The 17,439-nt window shown below is 58.9% G+C and overlaps 1 protein-coding gene across 1 annotated transcript in view, besides 5 other annotated features; it reads left to right on the top strand.

Moving 5' to 3' along the window:
* The window catches only part of TAFA5 (TAFA chemokine like family member 5), a 262,380-nt gene that overhangs the window by 29,088 nt on the left and 215,853 nt on the right, over positions 1–17,439 (top strand). The gene's annotated exons all lie outside the window — the stretch shown is intronic.
* Positions 4,071–4,574: an enhancer, noted in NCBI's record as "H3K27ac-H3K4me1 hESC enhancer chr22:48918523-48919026 (GRCh37/hg19 assembly coordinates)". NCBI's record gives its function as "activates a minimal SCP1, AML or CMV promoter by ChIP-STARR-seq in naive H9 embryonic stem cells {active_cell/tissue: H9 hESC(naive)}" and the evidence as "EXISTENCE:reporter gene assay evidence [ECO:0000049][PMID:30033119]".
* Positions 8,777–9,278: an enhancer, noted in NCBI's record as "H3K4me1 hESC enhancer chr22:48923229-48923730 (GRCh37/hg19 assembly coordinates)". NCBI's record gives its function as "activates a minimal SCP1, AML or CMV promoter by ChIP-STARR-seq in naive and primed H9 embryonic stem cells {active_cell/tissue: H9 hESC(naive and primed)}" and the evidence as "EXISTENCE:reporter gene assay evidence [ECO:0000049][PMID:30033119]".
* Positions 9,279–9,778: an enhancer, noted in NCBI's record as "H3K4me1 hESC enhancer chr22:48923731-48924230 (GRCh37/hg19 assembly coordinates)". NCBI's record gives its function as "activates a minimal SCP1, AML or CMV promoter by ChIP-STARR-seq in primed H9 embryonic stem cells {active_cell/tissue: H9 hESC(primed)}" and the evidence as "EXISTENCE:reporter gene assay evidence [ECO:0000049][PMID:30033119]".
* Positions 15,307–15,808: an enhancer, noted in NCBI's record as "H3K4me1 hESC enhancer chr22:48929759-48930260 (GRCh37/hg19 assembly coordinates)". NCBI's record gives its function as "activates a minimal SCP1, AML or CMV promoter by ChIP-STARR-seq in naive H9 embryonic stem cells {active_cell/tissue: H9 hESC(naive)}" and the evidence as "EXISTENCE:reporter gene assay evidence [ECO:0000049][PMID:30033119]".
* Positions 15,809–16,308: an enhancer, noted in NCBI's record as "H3K4me1 hESC enhancer chr22:48930261-48930760 (GRCh37/hg19 assembly coordinates)". NCBI's record gives its function as "activates a minimal SCP1, AML or CMV promoter by ChIP-STARR-seq in naive H9 embryonic stem cells {active_cell/tissue: H9 hESC(naive)}" and the evidence as "EXISTENCE:reporter gene assay evidence [ECO:0000049][PMID:30033119]".

Raw genomic sequence — 17,439 nt, forward strand, 5'->3', positions numbered from 1 at the left:
GGTGCTCAGCAGGGAGGGCTGACCGAGGGGAGCCCTGAGAGACCCCTGACGAGAACAGGGGGCCTGCAGAGGAAACAGGTCCCCTAAGGTCACGGTCACGCCCAGTGAGACTCCAGCCCAGCTTTCCGGAGTGCTGTGCCCAGGGTCACGCTGGGACAGGCAAGCGGTGTCACCTCTTTTCCTGAAGACACTTTACACCCATGTGGAAAAGGAGAACGGTACTTTTCACTCACCTGGAGGAGGGACAGAGGCAAGGGCTGCCCCTTCCCCCTTTCTTCCTGGGGTGACCAGGCGGCCGGCGGTCCCCCAGCTCACCTGTCCGTCAAGAGCTGTCGGACACCCTGGAGGGAGGGCTCACGTCTGCAGTGCAGCAGGGAGGACGCCTGGGGTCTCCACCCACCGGCTTTGACCTAGCACAATCAACAGCCTTCAGTGGCTGACCCCAGGCCGAGAGCTATAGGGTAGTTTAAATTTGAAAATTAACATGGAATCAAAAGAGACAGAGTAATTTTTCATTCTGCTTGAAAGGTTATTTGCTTTCTCAGCCGATGCTTAGTGTACTGATACATGATGTCAAAAGGTAAATGATTTTAAACCAGATTCAATTTAAATTTCATTACATATTTGTAGGAGATAGAGGCTCCAAGAATCCCGCGTCTTCCCTTTGAGGACCTTTCACTTTTAATAACTCTGGAGCCTAATGCCCTAATCTGTTTATCGCGCAATCGCGTAGTCGCAGGGGCCACGCTTCTCAGACTCAGAATCGGAGCGTCCATGAAACAGGCTGTGGTCTCCAGGGCGGCCCCTCATGCATCTCGCTGCCACTGACCCTGGGTCTTCTCTGCCATCCCAGGCAGCACACGTGTCCTTTTATGTGAAGGGGGGGATGCCCTCCTTGAATGCAGACTCGGGGTGTGGGTCCCCTGTGGCTGCTGGGCCACGAGAGAGGGATGGGTGGTGGGAGGCGGGGACAGGCGGGAGGCCTGGAGTGGGACCAGAAGCAGCTCAGCTGAAACTGGGGGCGGTGGCGGGCAAATCGCGTTCTTCTTGGAGCCCTGGGCTCCTCACGGGCAACTAGAGTGTTCTGAGCAGCTGAGCCCTTGGGAGTCTCTCTGCAGGAGGGAGGTGAGCCGAGCAGGTCCCGTACCTCTTGCCCATCCCAGTCATGGCTGCACCTTGGACCAGTCACCTAACCTCTCTGTGCCATGGAAACAGGGTAATGGCAGGGCCACTGTGCAGAGTGGGAAAGTGTCCCCTCAACATTCATGTCCCCTGGAACCTCAGAATGTGACTTTACTTGGAAATTGTTTGTTGCAGATGGAATTAGTTAAGATGTGGTCACACGAGAGTTGGATAGGCCCTAAATCCAGTGCCCGGTGTCCTTAGAAGATGCAGAGAGACCCTGAGACCACCCAGAGGAAGACGCCCTGTGGAAACGGAGGTGGAGATGGGGGTGACGGGCCTGCTAGCCGAGGAGCCGCTGGGTGGCCAGCCACGCTGGAAGCTGGAGGCCACATGTTTCCCCTGGAGCTCCCAGAAGGAACTGGCCCTGCCAACACTTTGTGGACTTCTGGCCCAGAACTGTGTGAAGATAATTCCACTGTGTGAGATGCCGGGTTTGTGGGATTTTGTTATGCCGACACAGGCCACTAACACGCCACCCTCGGGGTGTGAGGGTCCCAGTACTGACCCCGGCCCAGGTGACACTGGGCATGTGTTGGCTGCTTCCATCCTTCTGTCCATTCCACCGTGCACGGGCTCACCCCGAAGGCCTGGGGCCCAAGGCTGTTCCAACACCCACCACTTACCCTTCTCGCTGGTGAAGTGGCCAACTGCCATCTGATTCTGCAGGTGGGACACCCTATTGGATGAAGTGTTTCTGGAGTGGCCCCTGCACCCAGCAGTGCCTTTGTTGGGGATGGAGAGTCAGAATGCCTGCCATCGGGGACTTGAGATTAATTTGGTGGTGGTCCTAGACGGATGTGAGGGATTTGGAGAGAGACCAGGTGTGGAGGGGCTTTGGGGCAGAGCCGGGGGTGGCCTGACTTGGCTTAATGGGCAGGAAGAGGGGGCATGGAGCTCTCAGACCAGGGGAATGGGCAGCCTTCCCTGATGTTGCCAGAAACTGCTTCCATGTCCTCTCATCTGGTTTAGGGGCCCCTAAACAAGGGGATCTGGAAGGTCGGGAAAAGCCCACTGTCTTTCAGACCCTGGGCTTCAGCACATCCCTCAGGCCAGGGCCAGGGCCAGGGGGGGTCGCAGGGTGGGATGACAGGTTGTGATCCAGGCAGGTGAGGACCTGTCCCCACCGTAAGCAGCCAACCCCTGGAAAAGCCCAGGTGGCTGAGTTCTGCCTGTGTTCAAAAGATGTCTCTTTGTAGGGGATGTGTGCGTGGGAGGCTGGAATTTGCTTTGGAAATTAATTGCCTGTTGAATTCTTCCCACCACGGCCGTAACCGTGCAGGATCCAGGGCATGTGAGGAGGGCTGTGAATGGGCTTCCTCTGGCCCATTTCATCAGTTATTGCCCTATCATCGCTCCTCTGGCTTCATTTACCCAGCAGGACATTGCTTTTACAGGCTCATCTGGGCACTTTTAAAAAATAAAGTCAGTGCATTCCAGGAACCCCTCTTCCCGATTTGGGTTTGTTGTATTTTGCAACATCAAACAGTGAGGAGTGGAAGGTTCCAGATCACGGCCCAGGGACCCCTGGCGTTCAGTTTGCAGACATTCTCTTGCCAGGCAGCCAGCTTTGCTTCCTGTCTGACTTTTGCTCGCCTTTGCTTCCACCTCGTGCTCCCATTTTCTCTCCTTTCTGCATTGCTAATGATATTGTTTGTTCTCGGTGCCACATAAAAAAAGCACAAGATAATCACCCAGGCATTAGTCATCATTAAGCTGGTGATAAAAACAAAAAAATTCTAAAGTGCTGTTTCCAGGATGGGTGTCGTGCCTGCGATGAATGGTGTTTATTACAAATGTGAGTTTCGGGGAGCCATCCCAGCCAGCCGCACGGGAGACGGAGGATGCGTGGCCACAGATGGACCCGATCCGTTAGGTGTAAAAGGTAAATACGGCGAGAAGTTTCCATCACCACCTGGAACTGCCCCAATCTTCGTTGAATTTGTCATTAAAGCATCGTGCTCATCTGTGGGTGCTGTTGAGGTTCCTTAGCAGGGCTCTCTGCGTTCACCTGGCATCTGTCAACTTGGAGTTGACATCGGGGCCAGGATGAGCTTCATGTGGAGGGTGTGGAGGGAGGTGGAGCTGTAGCTCCTGCTCAGACCAAACTCGGGGAGGGGCTTAGACGACAAGGAGGACAGAGGCCGAGCTCCCGGCCAGCCAGTGCCCACCCTCCGGATGGGGAGCGCATGGTTACTTCCCTTGCGGCCTTATTCCTTAGGATAGGTATTCCAAGAATACTTGTCTGCAAGTAACGGAACACGTGACCAGCATTGGCTTAAACAGCAAGGACGTTGTTTTGTTTTTGTTTTTTCCCACGTAGAAGCTGGAGATGGGCAGCCCAAGGCTGACGGTTGCTGTCCAAGACTGGAACCTCCTCCCACCCCTCCCTCTGTCCCCTGCGTCTACCTGTGGTCTCGGTGGCAGAGCCTGTGGCAGTTCTGGGCCTTGTATCTGTAGGTGGGAAGGGCGGCAGCTGCCTTGGGGGCTCTGAACAGGTGTGAGGCTCCCGGAATTCCGTCTGTGCCCACAGGCTGGGGGGATGCAGACCCCCCAGGTCCGGAGGCGGCCACCTCCCATCCACTGGCACCGGCGGCCCCAGGGCTTGGCTCTGTCCTTAGAGTCTCCCTCCCTCAGTGGCTGGTGGGGGCTGGTGGGCTCCCTGGGGCAGTGGTTGTGACTCTACACTCGCGTCCTCCGCTTCTGGAAACTGAGGCTGCCTGGGGTGGGCGCGGGGCCAGGCAAGGTTAGGCCCCCAACCTCGAGAGGCAACCTGAAGCCCTCCCCAGGCACAGGGCCTGAGTCCTCTCATCCGCCCCTGGGAGGAAGGCCATTCCCTTCACAGCCCAGGCCATGGGAGAGACTGCCTGGACATCATCTGGGCCTGCCTGGGGTTTTGTGGCCACTCATGGAGGGTCACCTGGGCCTGTGGGTGGAAGTTTAAGGCCAACTGTAAGTCGGCCCAAGGAGCCCACATGCCCCCAGGCTGGCCTGTCCCTTGGTGACTCTGGCTGGGAGGCCTCCCTACAGGGCCCTCCAGCTCCAGTATATCGTGGGTCTGCTGTCCACCACGTCCCTGTCCTGGGGGACTAGAGGGTGGGGCTGCTGAGCACAGGGCAAGACACTTCCAATGGGAGGCCAGGAATAGCTGGAAGGGGCTGCGGCAGCTGGAGCCCCCCATGGCGGGGCTGTGTCGGTTCCTTCCCAGCAGGAGACCCAGAGCCCATGGGTCACGGTGGAGGATGGCCAGGCTGGATGGGGGCGGCCAGGGAGCCACTGGTGCCCGTGTCAAGGCTTCCAGCTCACGGGCCTCCATCTCCTCCCCTGCCGCTCGTGCCACAAAACCCTGCTGCGCCCTGCACGGAGCCTCTGCTGGAGGCGGGCTCGGCTTGGTGGGCACTTCGTGGCGCTTGGCTCCTGTGCTCCCTGGCTTTGCCGTGGGACAGGGCTGGTGGGCCGGCGGGCAGCCTCCACCAGGGCCAGTTCCACTTAAACACCATCCAGGGGACCCTACGGGGTAGGATGAAACCAGCCCCTGAGTCAGCAAACTCCCCTGGGCCCTCCTGTGTGGCCGGCTCGCGGCATTCCGCTGGGCTGTGGAGGTGAATCACTTATCTCCTGGCTGTTGGCTACTTGAGCAGGAAGGAGGCTTGGGATGGAAAACGTTGGGCCTCTGCTTCTGGGAGCCCCGAAGGCTGGCCCGGGGCCCCGGCTCTCTGCCTTCACCCACACGGGGCTTGGTGCCACATCCCAGGTGCTGCTCCTAGGCCTAGGCTCAGGCCTGCTTGGGCCAGATCAGCCGCCTGGACTGACCCCAGCCCCTCTGTGCCCAACTTGGGCCAGGGCTGCATGAAGGAGGCATCCCGGGGGCCCAGGAAGGAGCCGCTCCCAGGAACCCCTATTCCTGGGCAGCCCAGACTTACTACCAAGAGGCTTTAGTGGGAAGCCTGACCCCAACAGCTGAAAATAGGCCAGGCAGACACAAGGCCAGTCTGGGTGTGGACGCAGGGTCCTCTCTGCAGAGAGGAGGCTGGCGAGAAGTGTGCCAGGGCTCAGGCGGCTGGCGCTGGCCTTTGAAGGCACCACAGGCCGCCCAGGCGAGGTGCCCACAGCTGCCACTGCACACCCAGGTGAGGTGCCCACAGCTACCACCGCACGTGGTCCCAACCTGCCCCGGGGCCGGGCTGGCCTGTGATGCCTGTCAGAGGGCGGAAGCAGGGTGGGAAGATAGCATGATGCGGTCCCCCATTTTTTATTGCCTCTGACCTTATTTTAGTCCATTATGGCTGCTTTTTCGGGATTTTCTCTCCTCCCTCCCGTCTGGCCAGTTTTCCTTTGTGCGGCTGGCAGCCCACCGCTTCCAACGCTGACCTCAGGGCCTCCATCTCCACGGGCCTCAGGATTCTGTCTCAAAAGCCTGCGTGGCTTTGACAGTGTGGGGGCTGGTGGGAGGTTCTGCTGGGCTGCGCCTTTGGCGTTTGGAGTGGAGAGGAAGCTCCTCTTTCAGGTGCAGGCTCATGTGAGCTCCATGCAGACCTCAGGGATGGAGACGCCCTGCCCTGCATTCCCCAAGGCCACCCTGAGGAGCCCAGCAGTGCCTTGGCCTAGGCGCTTGGTCAGGGACGCCCTCCCTGCTGGACACTTGGCAGTCAAAACAGGACCTTGGTGGCATCTGGGAAGTTCTGGAACATTCTCAGCCTGAGATGCGGAAGAGGCATCAGCCCTCCCCTCCTCCCAAAACACTCGGGATGGCTGGAAGCTGGAGCCTCCGTCCACAGCCCACCCCTTTTAGGGGCCCCCACATTGGGCATGGTTAGTTCTCACACGCAGGATCCGGCACACACGCCATCTCGACAAGGATGCCTGGGTGAGTTGCTGCCCTAGCTTGTGGGTGAGACCCTGCACCGAGCTTCCCCAGGGCCAGCAGGGGTGGGCGGCCAGACGAGGGGTTTACTCTGCACCAGGAGTGGGGAAGCAGTGACTCCCTGTCCCTGCTGGGAAACGTGGAGTCTTCCTTACACTGGCAGGACCTTCTGCACCCAGGGCGTTCCTTCCTGTCCCAGGCTCCTGGGGCATTCTCTGATCCAGGCGCGGGTTTCCTGTGGGTAGTTGAGCCAGGTGTATGTGCCTGGCCCTTTCTCCTGCCTCTTCCTCCATCTTCAGAGCCTGTAGAGCCGCAACTTCTCTCCGCCCTGCCCTCAGCTTTTGTTCTCACATCTTCTCTCCCTGGCTCTGACCTTCCTGCCTCCCCTCAACTTACCAGAACCCTTGTGATGAGTTGGAGCCCACCTGGAGGGTCGAGGGTCCTCTCCCATCCCAAGACCCTTGACTTAATCACATCTAAAAACGTCCCTTTGCCATGTAGGGTGACCCGGTGACCCATTCACAGGCTCCAGAGATTAGGAGATGAGCTTCTTTGGGGACATCCCTCGGCCCAGGGGATGCTCCCCATGGGGGGTCCCATCTTAGGCCGATGCCCTTAGGGTCAGGGAGCAGCCTGGAGACCTCCACACAGGGACCCTGGGATACGCTGAGGGCTTGGTCCACACCCCACCCTCACCCCGACAGGTGCCCGCTGCCTGCTCCGCCTGCTGGACTCCGATTCCAGTGCTCATTCTTGCCTGCCACCTGCTCCGCCTTCTGGACTCTGCTTCCAGTGCTCATTCTCGCAAATGCCCCTTCCCCCTCCCGGCTGAACCTCTGCCCAGGTGGAGGCCCTTCCCACTCGGTGGCCCAGGTCCACCCTCTGCCTCAGCGGTCCCCAGGCTTGAGCATGCATCCGAATTCCCTGGGGGCTTGTGGACCAACAGATCGCTGGACTGAACCCATGGTTTCTGATTCAGGGGTCAGGCCGGGGCCCCAGAAGCTGCTGCTGCTGCTGGCCTGGTACCCCGCCTAAAGAAGCCCTGCCTACCCGAGCCCTCCTGTTCTTCCCTGCCTCCAGGCCCCTGCAGAGGCACGGTGGTGTGCACGGCTCATTCTCGCCTTACTCTCCCCATCTGTGGACGAGGCATCCTGAGGTCGCCCCTGCAGAGGCGTGGAGATGTGTGTGGCTCATTCCCTCCTTACTCTCCCCACCTGTGGACGAGGTGTCCTGAAGTCTCCACTCCCGCTGCCCTGCCTCCCAGATCGCTGTCAGGCTGGACAAGGGCACCAAATGGCCCTCAGTGCAGATTTGGAGAATGTGTACTGGGCACCAGCCTTGGCAGGTTTCACGGATCTCTGCACTCATCCTTTCCTGGGTGGTCTCAGTCACTGCCAGGGGAGCCAGTGGCCTCACCTTACCAATGGAGAAACTAAGGGGTGCATGCCCATGGCCCTGCCCGGGTGCTCCCAGCATGAAGGGGCTGTCCAGGGCTGGGACTCCGGTCTGGCCTCATTCTCTCTTTGTCTACCCTGCTGCCCTCCTCCGTCTGTGTGTGGTGTCCTGAGCTGGGACTATGCCATCTGTGTCTTTGGGGAGGTCCCCTGCACCCTGGCCAGGAGCCGAGGGAGCTTTCCACCTGCAGGGATCCTTCACTGTGTACCCTTGGCTGGCTCCAAAATCCTTCTCAGGGGAGCAGAGTGGGAGCAGGTGCCCCAGTCAAGTCTTCCAGGAGCTGTCGCCCCAGACACATCTGAATACTGGCCACCTGGAGCCCTCAGAGTCCCTGGTCCACAAGGGAGAGACGGGCTGGCTTCTGCGTGCCACCTTGCTCACTCCTGGTTAACTCTGCGTGCCGGCCTCACAAGGCTGACCATACAGGGCGGCTGCTGGCCCCGGAGCTCCTGCGGGTGCATCCTCATTGGTACGTCCTTCCTGGTCCTTACAAGAAGAGACAATGTCCCTGAGTGCATTTGCATGTCGATCACGCTGCCATTATGTATCTCGGAGTTTTCATCGTGAGAAGAATGAGTTAATCATGTTGTATATACTGAATAGACTTAGAAAGATTGCAAGACGGCACTTTCATTGGAAGAGGGGAATTAGTTTAAAAATATGCTGTCAAAATATGTTGTTCTAAATGCTGAGTTGATGGTTCTTTTGTTTTGCTTTGTTTCTTGAATGTGTCATTAGAAAGAATTAACAATGACATCAACTGTGAGATGGGACTGCATTTCCTCTGAAAGGGGGAGGATATTGAGTTGTCCTTGGGATTTTCTTTAAGTGATTCCTTTCCCTTAATATATTATATCTCATGATGAGGCCCACTATAACTTTAATTTTTCCATTTATTGAAAGTCAGATGTGTGCATTTGGAGAACTCAGATGTAAGGGGCTTCATTGTAACAGCCCCACCCAGTGCCCCGTGGGCCCTTGCTGGCCTCCCCTGGGCCAATTGACCAGGCCATGTGGTTCACCCTCTGGAGGCTGTGGCTCTGGGGCAATGCTAGAGTCAGAGGCGACCCCGTGGCACTCCCTGTGGCTGGCCGTCACTTCCTCCTCTGTAAATGTCAAGGTCCACTTAGACCCCAACTGCAGCCCAGGCCTGGGGGGTCTCTGAGATCTGCACTCAACCAGTTCTTACAGCGCAGCTGGTACTCCTGTGTTTCTGAATGGATGAGCAGCTATGGTGTCGCCTGGCACCTGCTTATAGGGCAGGGCAAGGCCAGGGCAGCAGGGGTGAGGGGCAACGGGACCGTGGACAGTGAGGCGGACTCCTGAGCTGTTGCAGCTGCCCAGAGACAGCCGGCTACTCCCCGTGCACGGCCTCCAGATGGGAACGTTCAGGAAGGACATGGTGCACAGTCCTTGGGGCACAGAGACAGGCCAGGTTCTGACTTCCAGCTTCCTTCCAGCTCTTGTAAGTCTGCCTGGAAGGGAGGTGAGGTCCCACCACAGCACCTGTTGGAAGCCCTGTGGGAAGCCGCATCCCACCCAGGCTGGAAGTGGCAGGAGGATCCGGGGCTCTGTGGGCCTCTGCCCTAGCTCAGACCCTTCCTGGGTCAGCCTCTGTCGTGTGGTTGAGGGGAGCAGCTGTGGGTCCGGCGATGGTGGCCGGGAGGTCAGAGGGAGGTGCCTGAGATGCGCCGGGTGTTTCACGGGTAGATGGAGCCCGGCGCGAGGCTTCAGGCCCGTGTTACATGCCAGCAGCCGTAACAGGTGCAATCCCGCCTTCCCAGGCGCGCTCTTCTTCAGGCACTTCTGAGATGCACTTTTACTACTTGTTCTCCTCTCTGGAATCGGGAATGTCATGTGACCCTTGGTGCAGGGCACCAGACAGGCAGATGAAAGCGGCATAGACAGAGCTGGCTTGGCCGCCTGGGCCCCCCGGGGCCCCCCGGTGCCTGTCCTCTCCTCCTCCACAGGCCCCGCGATGGCTCTGATGGCGTCGATGATGCTGATTCTCAGTTAAGGACGCTGAAGTTCGGAGGTGCCGGAAACCCGTGAATCAGGAGCCTGGTGTGGTCCTGGTACCTGACAAGCTTCGAGCGGAGTGAGATGGGAGTGGGCCTGGGGGCTGCTGCAGAGTTGCGGTGAGGACTCCAGTAGGGCCTTGGGGCATGAGTCGGTGCCACCTGGGTGCATCGTGTCTCCAGGAAAGGGTTCTGCTCTGGGGGTCCATTCCCCGATGCCTGTGTATAGCCAAGGCCATAGTGAGGAGGCACCCCTGGAAGGGCAGCCCCTGCAACCCAGCACCTCTGCACCCTGCACTGGCTGCCTGCAGCCACTGCACCCAGCCCTGCCACACTCCTTCACGGGGCCCAGCTCCCATCAAGGGTGGTCTTCACCCCCTAGGAGCCTAGGGTTGATCCCAGGAGTCTGAGCCTGTGCACCTGCCCCACCTGTGATGTGGCCTCGGGGACTGTGGTTTGTCAGGTGCTTAGGGAGTTTGTGTAATTAACCAATGCTTTGAGTCAACAAAGACATAGTGTGAGTATGATTGCAGGTCAGCACTGTGGAAAGAGCCAGGAACACCCTGGAAGCGGAGTGGCCTCAAGTGTGCGTGCAGGGCCGGTGGGCGGGGCCCCACTCAGCAGCTGTGCGCTTGCACCAGGAGCACTGGGGGAGAAGCTGGGGGTCTGTGGAGCCCCTGACCTGCCTTTGCTTTCCTTGGGGCCCAGAGGCCCTGCTCTGGGAGACACAGTCCCATTGTAACCTGGAGAAGGGAGGGGTAGCAGGGAGACAATGAGGGGGTACATTTCAGCTGAAGGCCCAGCCTGGGGAAAGGCTCAGGCAGGTGGGGTGCATGGGGCACAGGGTAGCTGCCTGATGGGGGCTTGCCCTTGAGGGCACTAGAACCCTCTGAGGGGCCCTAGCAGGGCAGTGACTGCTTAAACCACCTTCACATTTGAGAACTCGCTCTGGCGCTGCATGCCTAGGACCTGGGTAGAGGCAGAAAAATCAAGGTGGAGGCTGTTGAGGGTGTCCAGGCAGGAGATGAGGGTGTCCAGGCAGGAAATGAGGATGTCCAGGCAGGAGATGGGGGTGTTCAGGCAGGAGATGGGGGTGTCAGGCAGGAGATGAGGGTGTCAGACAGGAGATGGGGGTGTCCAGGCAGGAGATGGGGGTGTCCAGGCAGGAGATGAGGGTGTCCAGGCAGGAGATGAGGGTGTCAGGCGGGAGATGGGGATGTCAGGCAGGAGATGAGGGTGTCAGGCAGGAGATGGGGATGTCAGGCAGGAGATGGGGGTGTCCAGGCAGGAGATGGGGGTGTCCAGGCAGGAGATGGGGGTGTCCAGGCAAGAGATGGGGGTGTCAGGCAGGAGATGGGGGTGTCCAGGCAGGAGATGGGGGTGTCCAGGCAGGAGATGGGGGTGTCAGGCAGGAGATGGGGGTGTCCAGGCAGGAGATGGGGGTGTCAGGCAGGAGATGGGGGTGTCCAGGCAGGAGATGAGGGTGTCCAGGCAGGAGATGGGGGTGTCAGGCAGGAGATGGGGGTGTCCAGGTGGGATTCCAGGGGTCTCCGACCAGGCTGAACTGTGGAAGAATCAGGATTTTCCATAGAGACAGGATGATGGGTTGGGTGTGTGGACGGGGAGGGTGTGTGGTCAGGCCCCTTCAGACCTCCATCCTCCCATGGGTGCTCTGGGAGTGGTTGTAGCCCTTGAGTCACAGCGAGCCTGGAAGGCACATGTGGAGGAAAACTCTGGAAGAAAGAGCTTCCAGGTGGGAGTTGGGGCATCTGGGACAACCCTTCTCCCTTCACAGGGTGTTGGACACCCCCTGAGGACTAAGCTCATGGATGCAGGGGCTGTGGGCCCTCTGGACACCCCCTGAGGACTGAGCTTGTGGCTGCAGAGGCCGTGGGCCCTCTGCTTTGTGGGGCTGGGCTGAGTAGGGTGAGGGAAGCCCTGGCGTCTGCAGACCCTCCTGTACTGATGACCTGTACCACCTGCTCTGTCTCCATGGCGACTCGAGGAGGAGGAGGCTGGGCCTGCATCACCTCCATTTTTGCATGCATGAGAACTTGAGTGTAAGTCTCCTCTGCTCCCCTCCTGTGACATCCGAGCATGGTCGTCTGACAAATGGGGCATCAGGAGTCTTGGTGCTGCCTGTCCCTGAAGTGCCTTTCTGAGAAAACACAGAGTGAAGGAACCTCTGGAGGGCACAGGGGCCATCACCTGCTGGAGCCCAGAGAAGGAATGCACCGGGCACTGTCGTGGGGCCGGCATTCAACTGAAAGGATTGGCTTCGAGTCTTGGCTGACCACTGGATACTCTGGCCAGGGACCTTGGGATGGTTCAGGGGAACCTGCTGCAGGTTTACAGAGAGAGAAGCTGAGGCCCAGAGTGGAAAGCAGGTGGACAGGGCTCCTCCCGTCTCCTCCCCTGCTAGAGGGTGGGCAAGAAACCAGCGCTCCCCTGGCTCCCTCCCTTCCCATCCCTTCTGCTTGGCGACCCTCCTCCAATGGGCTCCCGTCTTTCCTGTCCAACTGTCCATGTCACATGGGACCTGCTGTCTTTGGGCCGGGAGTCATAGCCACCTGGTTCACACCTGACCCCCAGGCCCACCCCTTCAGGGGGCCGGTGGCAGAGGGAGTTCCCAGGAGTGAGGTTTGGGGCAGGAGAGGCGACCCCAGTGCGTGTGGCTATGGGCTTCGACAAAGCAGGGGAGAAATGTCCCTCGGGTTCCAAATGAAAGTGGCTGAGATGTCACAGTGACATGACAGACTGAGCTTCCACTGTACAGGGACCCCCTGTGCAAAGTGGTGCCCCTGCCCGCCCCGACCCCAGCCTTGTTAGGGGACTGGCCACACTCACAGACATGCCAGCCGGCAAGAGCTGGTCATGGGTGTGTGGACCGTCTCAGGGAATCAGTCAGAGGTGGCTGGGGTAGCCAGGAGCCACCACACTGCCTGCCGACGTGGCTGGGCCTGTTTCAGATCCAGGAAGTGTGGGTCTGCATGGGGAACCTTCTGCTTTTGTGATGAGCTGAGCGGCCCCTGGCCAACCCTTTCGGCCTTGCATGGAGCTCAGATGTGTGGCCGCAGGAGCTGAGCCCCAGTCCCAGGCTTGTCCTGCCCTGGCTCTGCCTCTTGGGAGCCTGTCCTGGGCAGGGTGGGGCTGTGATGAAGACTGGGCAGGTGAAAGCTCTGGGGCACCGGCCTGCCTGTCCCCTTCCTGGAGCGGACAGTGAGAGGGGCTTTCTTGCAGACAACGTGAGTCTTGCGGCCTCTGCAGGTGGCTCCTGACACCCGCCCCGGTGCCCTGTGGCCTGGGATCTGGCAGACTTCGAGGTCCCTGAGGCCACAGTGGGTCTTCCCTGCAGGTGCAGTCGACATGTGGGTTACTGACTTGGTTTGGCATTGGCGTCAGGTTGGGGTAGCCGGCCTGCACCCCTAAGCTTACCGGCTTTGTGCAGGGGACTCTAGCCTGGACCCTCCCTTCCTCGCCTGCAGGAGAAATGCCTTTAGACCCCCAGCGCGCCCTCCTGCTGAGCTGTCAGTCTCGCGCCAGAGACCACATGCCTCTTGGGAACAGAAAGGGGTTTGTACAGGGAGGTTGTCTGGGACTGCCCCCAGGACTGCACTCTCTAATCCTGGGAGGAGAGGCTGGGAGGCTGACCCTGGAGGAAGAGACAGCAGGTGCCTCCCACCCCCCAACTCCCCCGGAAGGACGGACGGGCCTGGCAGGGCAGGAGAGGGTGGACGTCCCACAGCCAGGAACAGCCAGGCACACCACGGACAGGACTTCATGCCCAGCACATGCCGGCACAGCTGGTGACGCTTCTGGGTCTGATTCTGCAGCTGAGCTCCCGTTTCCTGTCTGCACAGCTGGTCACTGTGCATCCAGAGGAAGGTGGGTGGCTCTCTCCCGAGCCCTGCTCCTGTGCACCCCGCCTGCCTCCTCCGGACGAGGAACCCCTTGGTGCTTTCTGTTCTCTGATGAAGAGGAGGGATCTCCTTGCCTTTTCTTCTTCTCAGAACCATGATAAGCTTGGCTTCCAGGGGTTTTTCTACAGAGATTATGCAAATGTGGCCCTCGCCTCCAGGGCTGCCCAGCCAGCACTCTTTAGGAGATTACGGAGGCCGCACGTCTAATCTTCACCATATTTGCCTTTTATTTACTCCGCACCTTTTCAGGCTGTGGTCAGCCCTGACAGCTCGGATCTTTCCGGTGAGGAGTACATGTTGGAAACACGTATTTCATGTTCTCAAGAGACCATTTCCCTCCTGCTCAATCCCAAGGCTGTTCATGTACCCAGCAAGGATTTATTGTGTCTTCAGGATAGTCTCTTTGTGTATTTTGGTCTCAGGTTTTAAAATATTGGGATCAGTCAACGATTACGCACTGTCGCTGGTGGGGTTAGTGAGGCAGGTGGGATGGGAGACCTCAGGCTGCAGACACTATAGTCACGTCCAGCATCTGCCCTGCTGCAGGCATAGGGTGTGGCCCACCCAGTCGCTGGGGGCCTCTAATGCAGCCGCCATCTCACACGTGGCTTCCAGGTCACCATGAAAGGGGAAGAAGAGGAGGATGGCACAGGAGGTCAGGCCTGGAAGGACCCGGGCCACTTCTGCCTGAAATCTTTCAGCAAGGAATGGTGCCCCTGCCCCGGCTCCCATCGGGAAGACGGGCTGGGAGCATCTGAGGAATGAGTCCTAGGATTTGGAGGACACAGGACACACACTGTCTTTGCAACAGGGAGATCATATCTTCTCCATGTCCAGGGTGAGAAAGTTGAGGCCAAGAGACATCCAGACACTTGCCAAGGTCCCACCGCCTGTGGGTGGTAGAGCTTGAAGTGAGCGCAGGGTGCTGAGTCCCCAGGCTGTTGCCCTAAATGCTGCCAGGGGACGGGGGTTTGCTGACAGGTGCGGGCGGAGGTTCCCCTGTGCAGTGTCCTTCTGGGAGCAGAGGCCCTGGGAGCACCCCCTGGGAGGCCTGTGCCTGCTGCCGCCCAGCCTGATGGAGTGGCCGGGGTCTGAGGAGGTGGCCCTGAGGAAGGGTGAGGGGACCGGCGGTGATTAGGGTGCAAGGAGCAAAGAATAGAAGTCTCATCGATGCCCTGGTCTCCCGTTAGGTGTGAGGGGGAGGGGTGCAGCCGTCAAACCTTTGGCTCTCACCTGGGACCCCAGAATTGTGGTGTCCAAGCCCTGTGTCTGCAGAAGGCGACCCCAGCACAGCTGGCACAGAGGTGGCAGGGGTGGCACAGGGTGAGGACTCCAGGGCAGGCCCTGGTGGGGCTCTCTCAGCACGAGGTCTTCAGCGTCTTGGCCTCCAGGCTGCAAGTCTGACGTCCAGCTAGGGCCTTGCCCATCAGAGATGTCAGCAGGATGTATTTTGGTCATTTGAGTCAAAGCTGGATCCCACCACATTCTGAAACGCCAGGAAGGGGTCACACCCCAAGCAGTGAGGCCCTCGGGAGATGGCTGTAGAAAGATCTGGAAGGGAATGGGAGAAGGACACCCTAGGGCCCCTTTCCCAACTCGAGGCCACCCTCTGGGCATCTTGGTCCCTGGCCAGAATGAAATTTCGCAGTGAGCTGTTGCCCAGAGAAGGACATTTTCACATTTCCCCAAACCTTTTTTTTTCCTTTTCCCACCTGTCCTTTCTTGCTGTACAGAGAAGCCAGTGTCCAGAAATATGAGAAAATGGGGAAGCAGCAGCCGTGTGGCTGGATGACAGCTGTTTTCACCATGTTTGGTGGAAAGGATGAGCCTGGCACATTGTGGAGGGCATGGGCCATGGTTTGTGGGGTCATAGTGGGTCAGCACCCCAAAGTTAGCAAGGACCCCTTAGCATCTGCATTTCCTGGAGCTGGGCTGATGACATGGAGAAGGAACTCTCCTTTCAGGAGAGCCCACATGGTCTCCTTCCATTGCTACCCTCACAGCAGAGGCAAGAATACAGGTGAGGCAGGGCCAGGCAGGTGAGGGGTGACAGGCAGGTGAGGGAGGTCAGGCAGGTGAGGGGGGCCAGGCAGGTGAGGTGGGTCAAGCAGGTGGGGAGGCAGGCAGGTGAAATGAATAAGTCAGGTGCGGTGGGTCAGGCAGGTGAAATGAGTAAGTCAGGTGAGGTGGATCAGGCAATTGCGGTGGGTAAGGCAGGTGAGGGGAGTCAGGCAGATGAGGGCTGATAGGTAGGTGAGGGGCCAGGCAGTTGAAGTAGGGCAGGCAGGTGAGATGGGGCCGGGCGTTCCTCCGGGGGTCTGCAGAGGACTCCCACGGGGGTAACCCTGCATGGCCAGCTCTAGGACTGAGGAGTGTGGAGGCAGAGAGGAGGGGCCGTGTCAGCTGAGCAGCAGGTCCAGGACAGCCTGGGTGGGTGGACAGGGCAGGCTGGAGGGCAGGGCCTGAGGGAGGCTGCAGTTGAGCCCACAGGGCCCTGGAATGTGCCTGTGCCCGGAGCCAAGCAGCTCCTCCTCCAGCTTCACTTCCGGGAATATCTCCTCTAGGTGCTTGCTGGGGCCGCCCTGCGGGGGTGTGGGGAGGTTGAAGGAGAGGCTGCGCCCCCTCCACTGTCCTTTACCCTGGAACGGGGGGAGGGGGAGGCCCGGCTCTCCGGCGGGCACCGCGGGCGCACCTGCACTGAGAAAGCGGGCTCTGCTGCAGGTCAGGGACACGGGGCTGGGAGCCGCAGGAGCAGCTGCGCTCAGCGACTGTGGAGGCTTGGCCGTGGAGGGATGGAGGTCGGTGCCCATTGTTTGTCTTGGGGGTCCTGGAGGCTGAGCTGCAGCCTCAGCACAGACGCCTTAGCTCCTCTGTCCTCTCCTTTTCTTCCTAGTTCTACTGGCCACTCGTGGGTCCCCAGCCAGCTCTGTCACCCCAGCCAGCGAACAGGGAACATTCCGGAACATCACCTCTCCCCAGCCTTGGGCAGCCCCTCCCCAAGGCTGGGCCCTGGGGCCTCTCACCCTGGGATCCCAGCCCAGCAACCCTTACCTGGGAACGTTCTGCTGTGCACAGGGTGTCTTTCCAGGGGAGGTGGAACCTTTATACAGGTTTTTATGCAAATGATCACCCCACCACTGTAGTATGTGTGTGTGACTCTTAAAAGTGTGTCTTTTCATCCACACACACACAGTCACACTCCCACACACTGTGACCTGCACATGAGTGTGCATGTAAGATGCACATTTACAAATAATACCTGCACAGGAGTGCGTCAACAGAGGATGTGATGGCCTTAGAAGAAATGTCTGACTTCAGTATTACACGGGTGTGTATATGTCACAGATGAGCATTGAACACAAACATGTACACAGTCTGTGTTGCTATACGCATATGTGTAGGTGTGAGCACACTGCACACGCAATGTACACGTTCACACAGGCACATGTATGAGCACTCGTGCCTTTGTGTGCGCACAAGCTGTGTGGGTATATGCATATGTGTAGATGCAAGCATGCTGCACACACATCACACATGGTCACACCGGCACATGTGATGAGCACTCATGCATACATGTGCACACAGGCTGTGTGAGTATATGCATATATGTAGGTGCAAGAATGCTGCACACACATCACACACACAGTCACACCGGCACATCACACGCACGGTCACACTGGCACATGTATGAGCACTCATGCGTGTGTGCACACAGGCTGTGTGGGTATATGCATATGTGTAGATGCAAGCATGCTGCACACACATCACACACGGTCACACCGGCACATGTATGAGCACTCGTGTGTGTGCACACAGGCTGTGTGGGTATATGCATATACGTAGGTGTGAGCACACTGCACACACATTACACACATTTGCACAGGCACGCGTATGGGCACTCATGCATGGCTGCACAGGGGCACACACAGACACACCCCCCCCAGGAGTGCCCGTGTTGTCGAGCCCCCGCCACAGAGCTGCACCGCCGCTTGGTGCCGCA

Source organism: Homo sapiens, chromosome 22 (assembly GCF_000001405.40).
Source record: "Homo sapiens chromosome 22, GRCh38.p14 Primary Assembly".
NCBI classification, from domain to species: domain Eukaryota; kingdom Metazoa; phylum Chordata; class Mammalia; order Primates; family Hominidae; genus Homo; species Homo sapiens.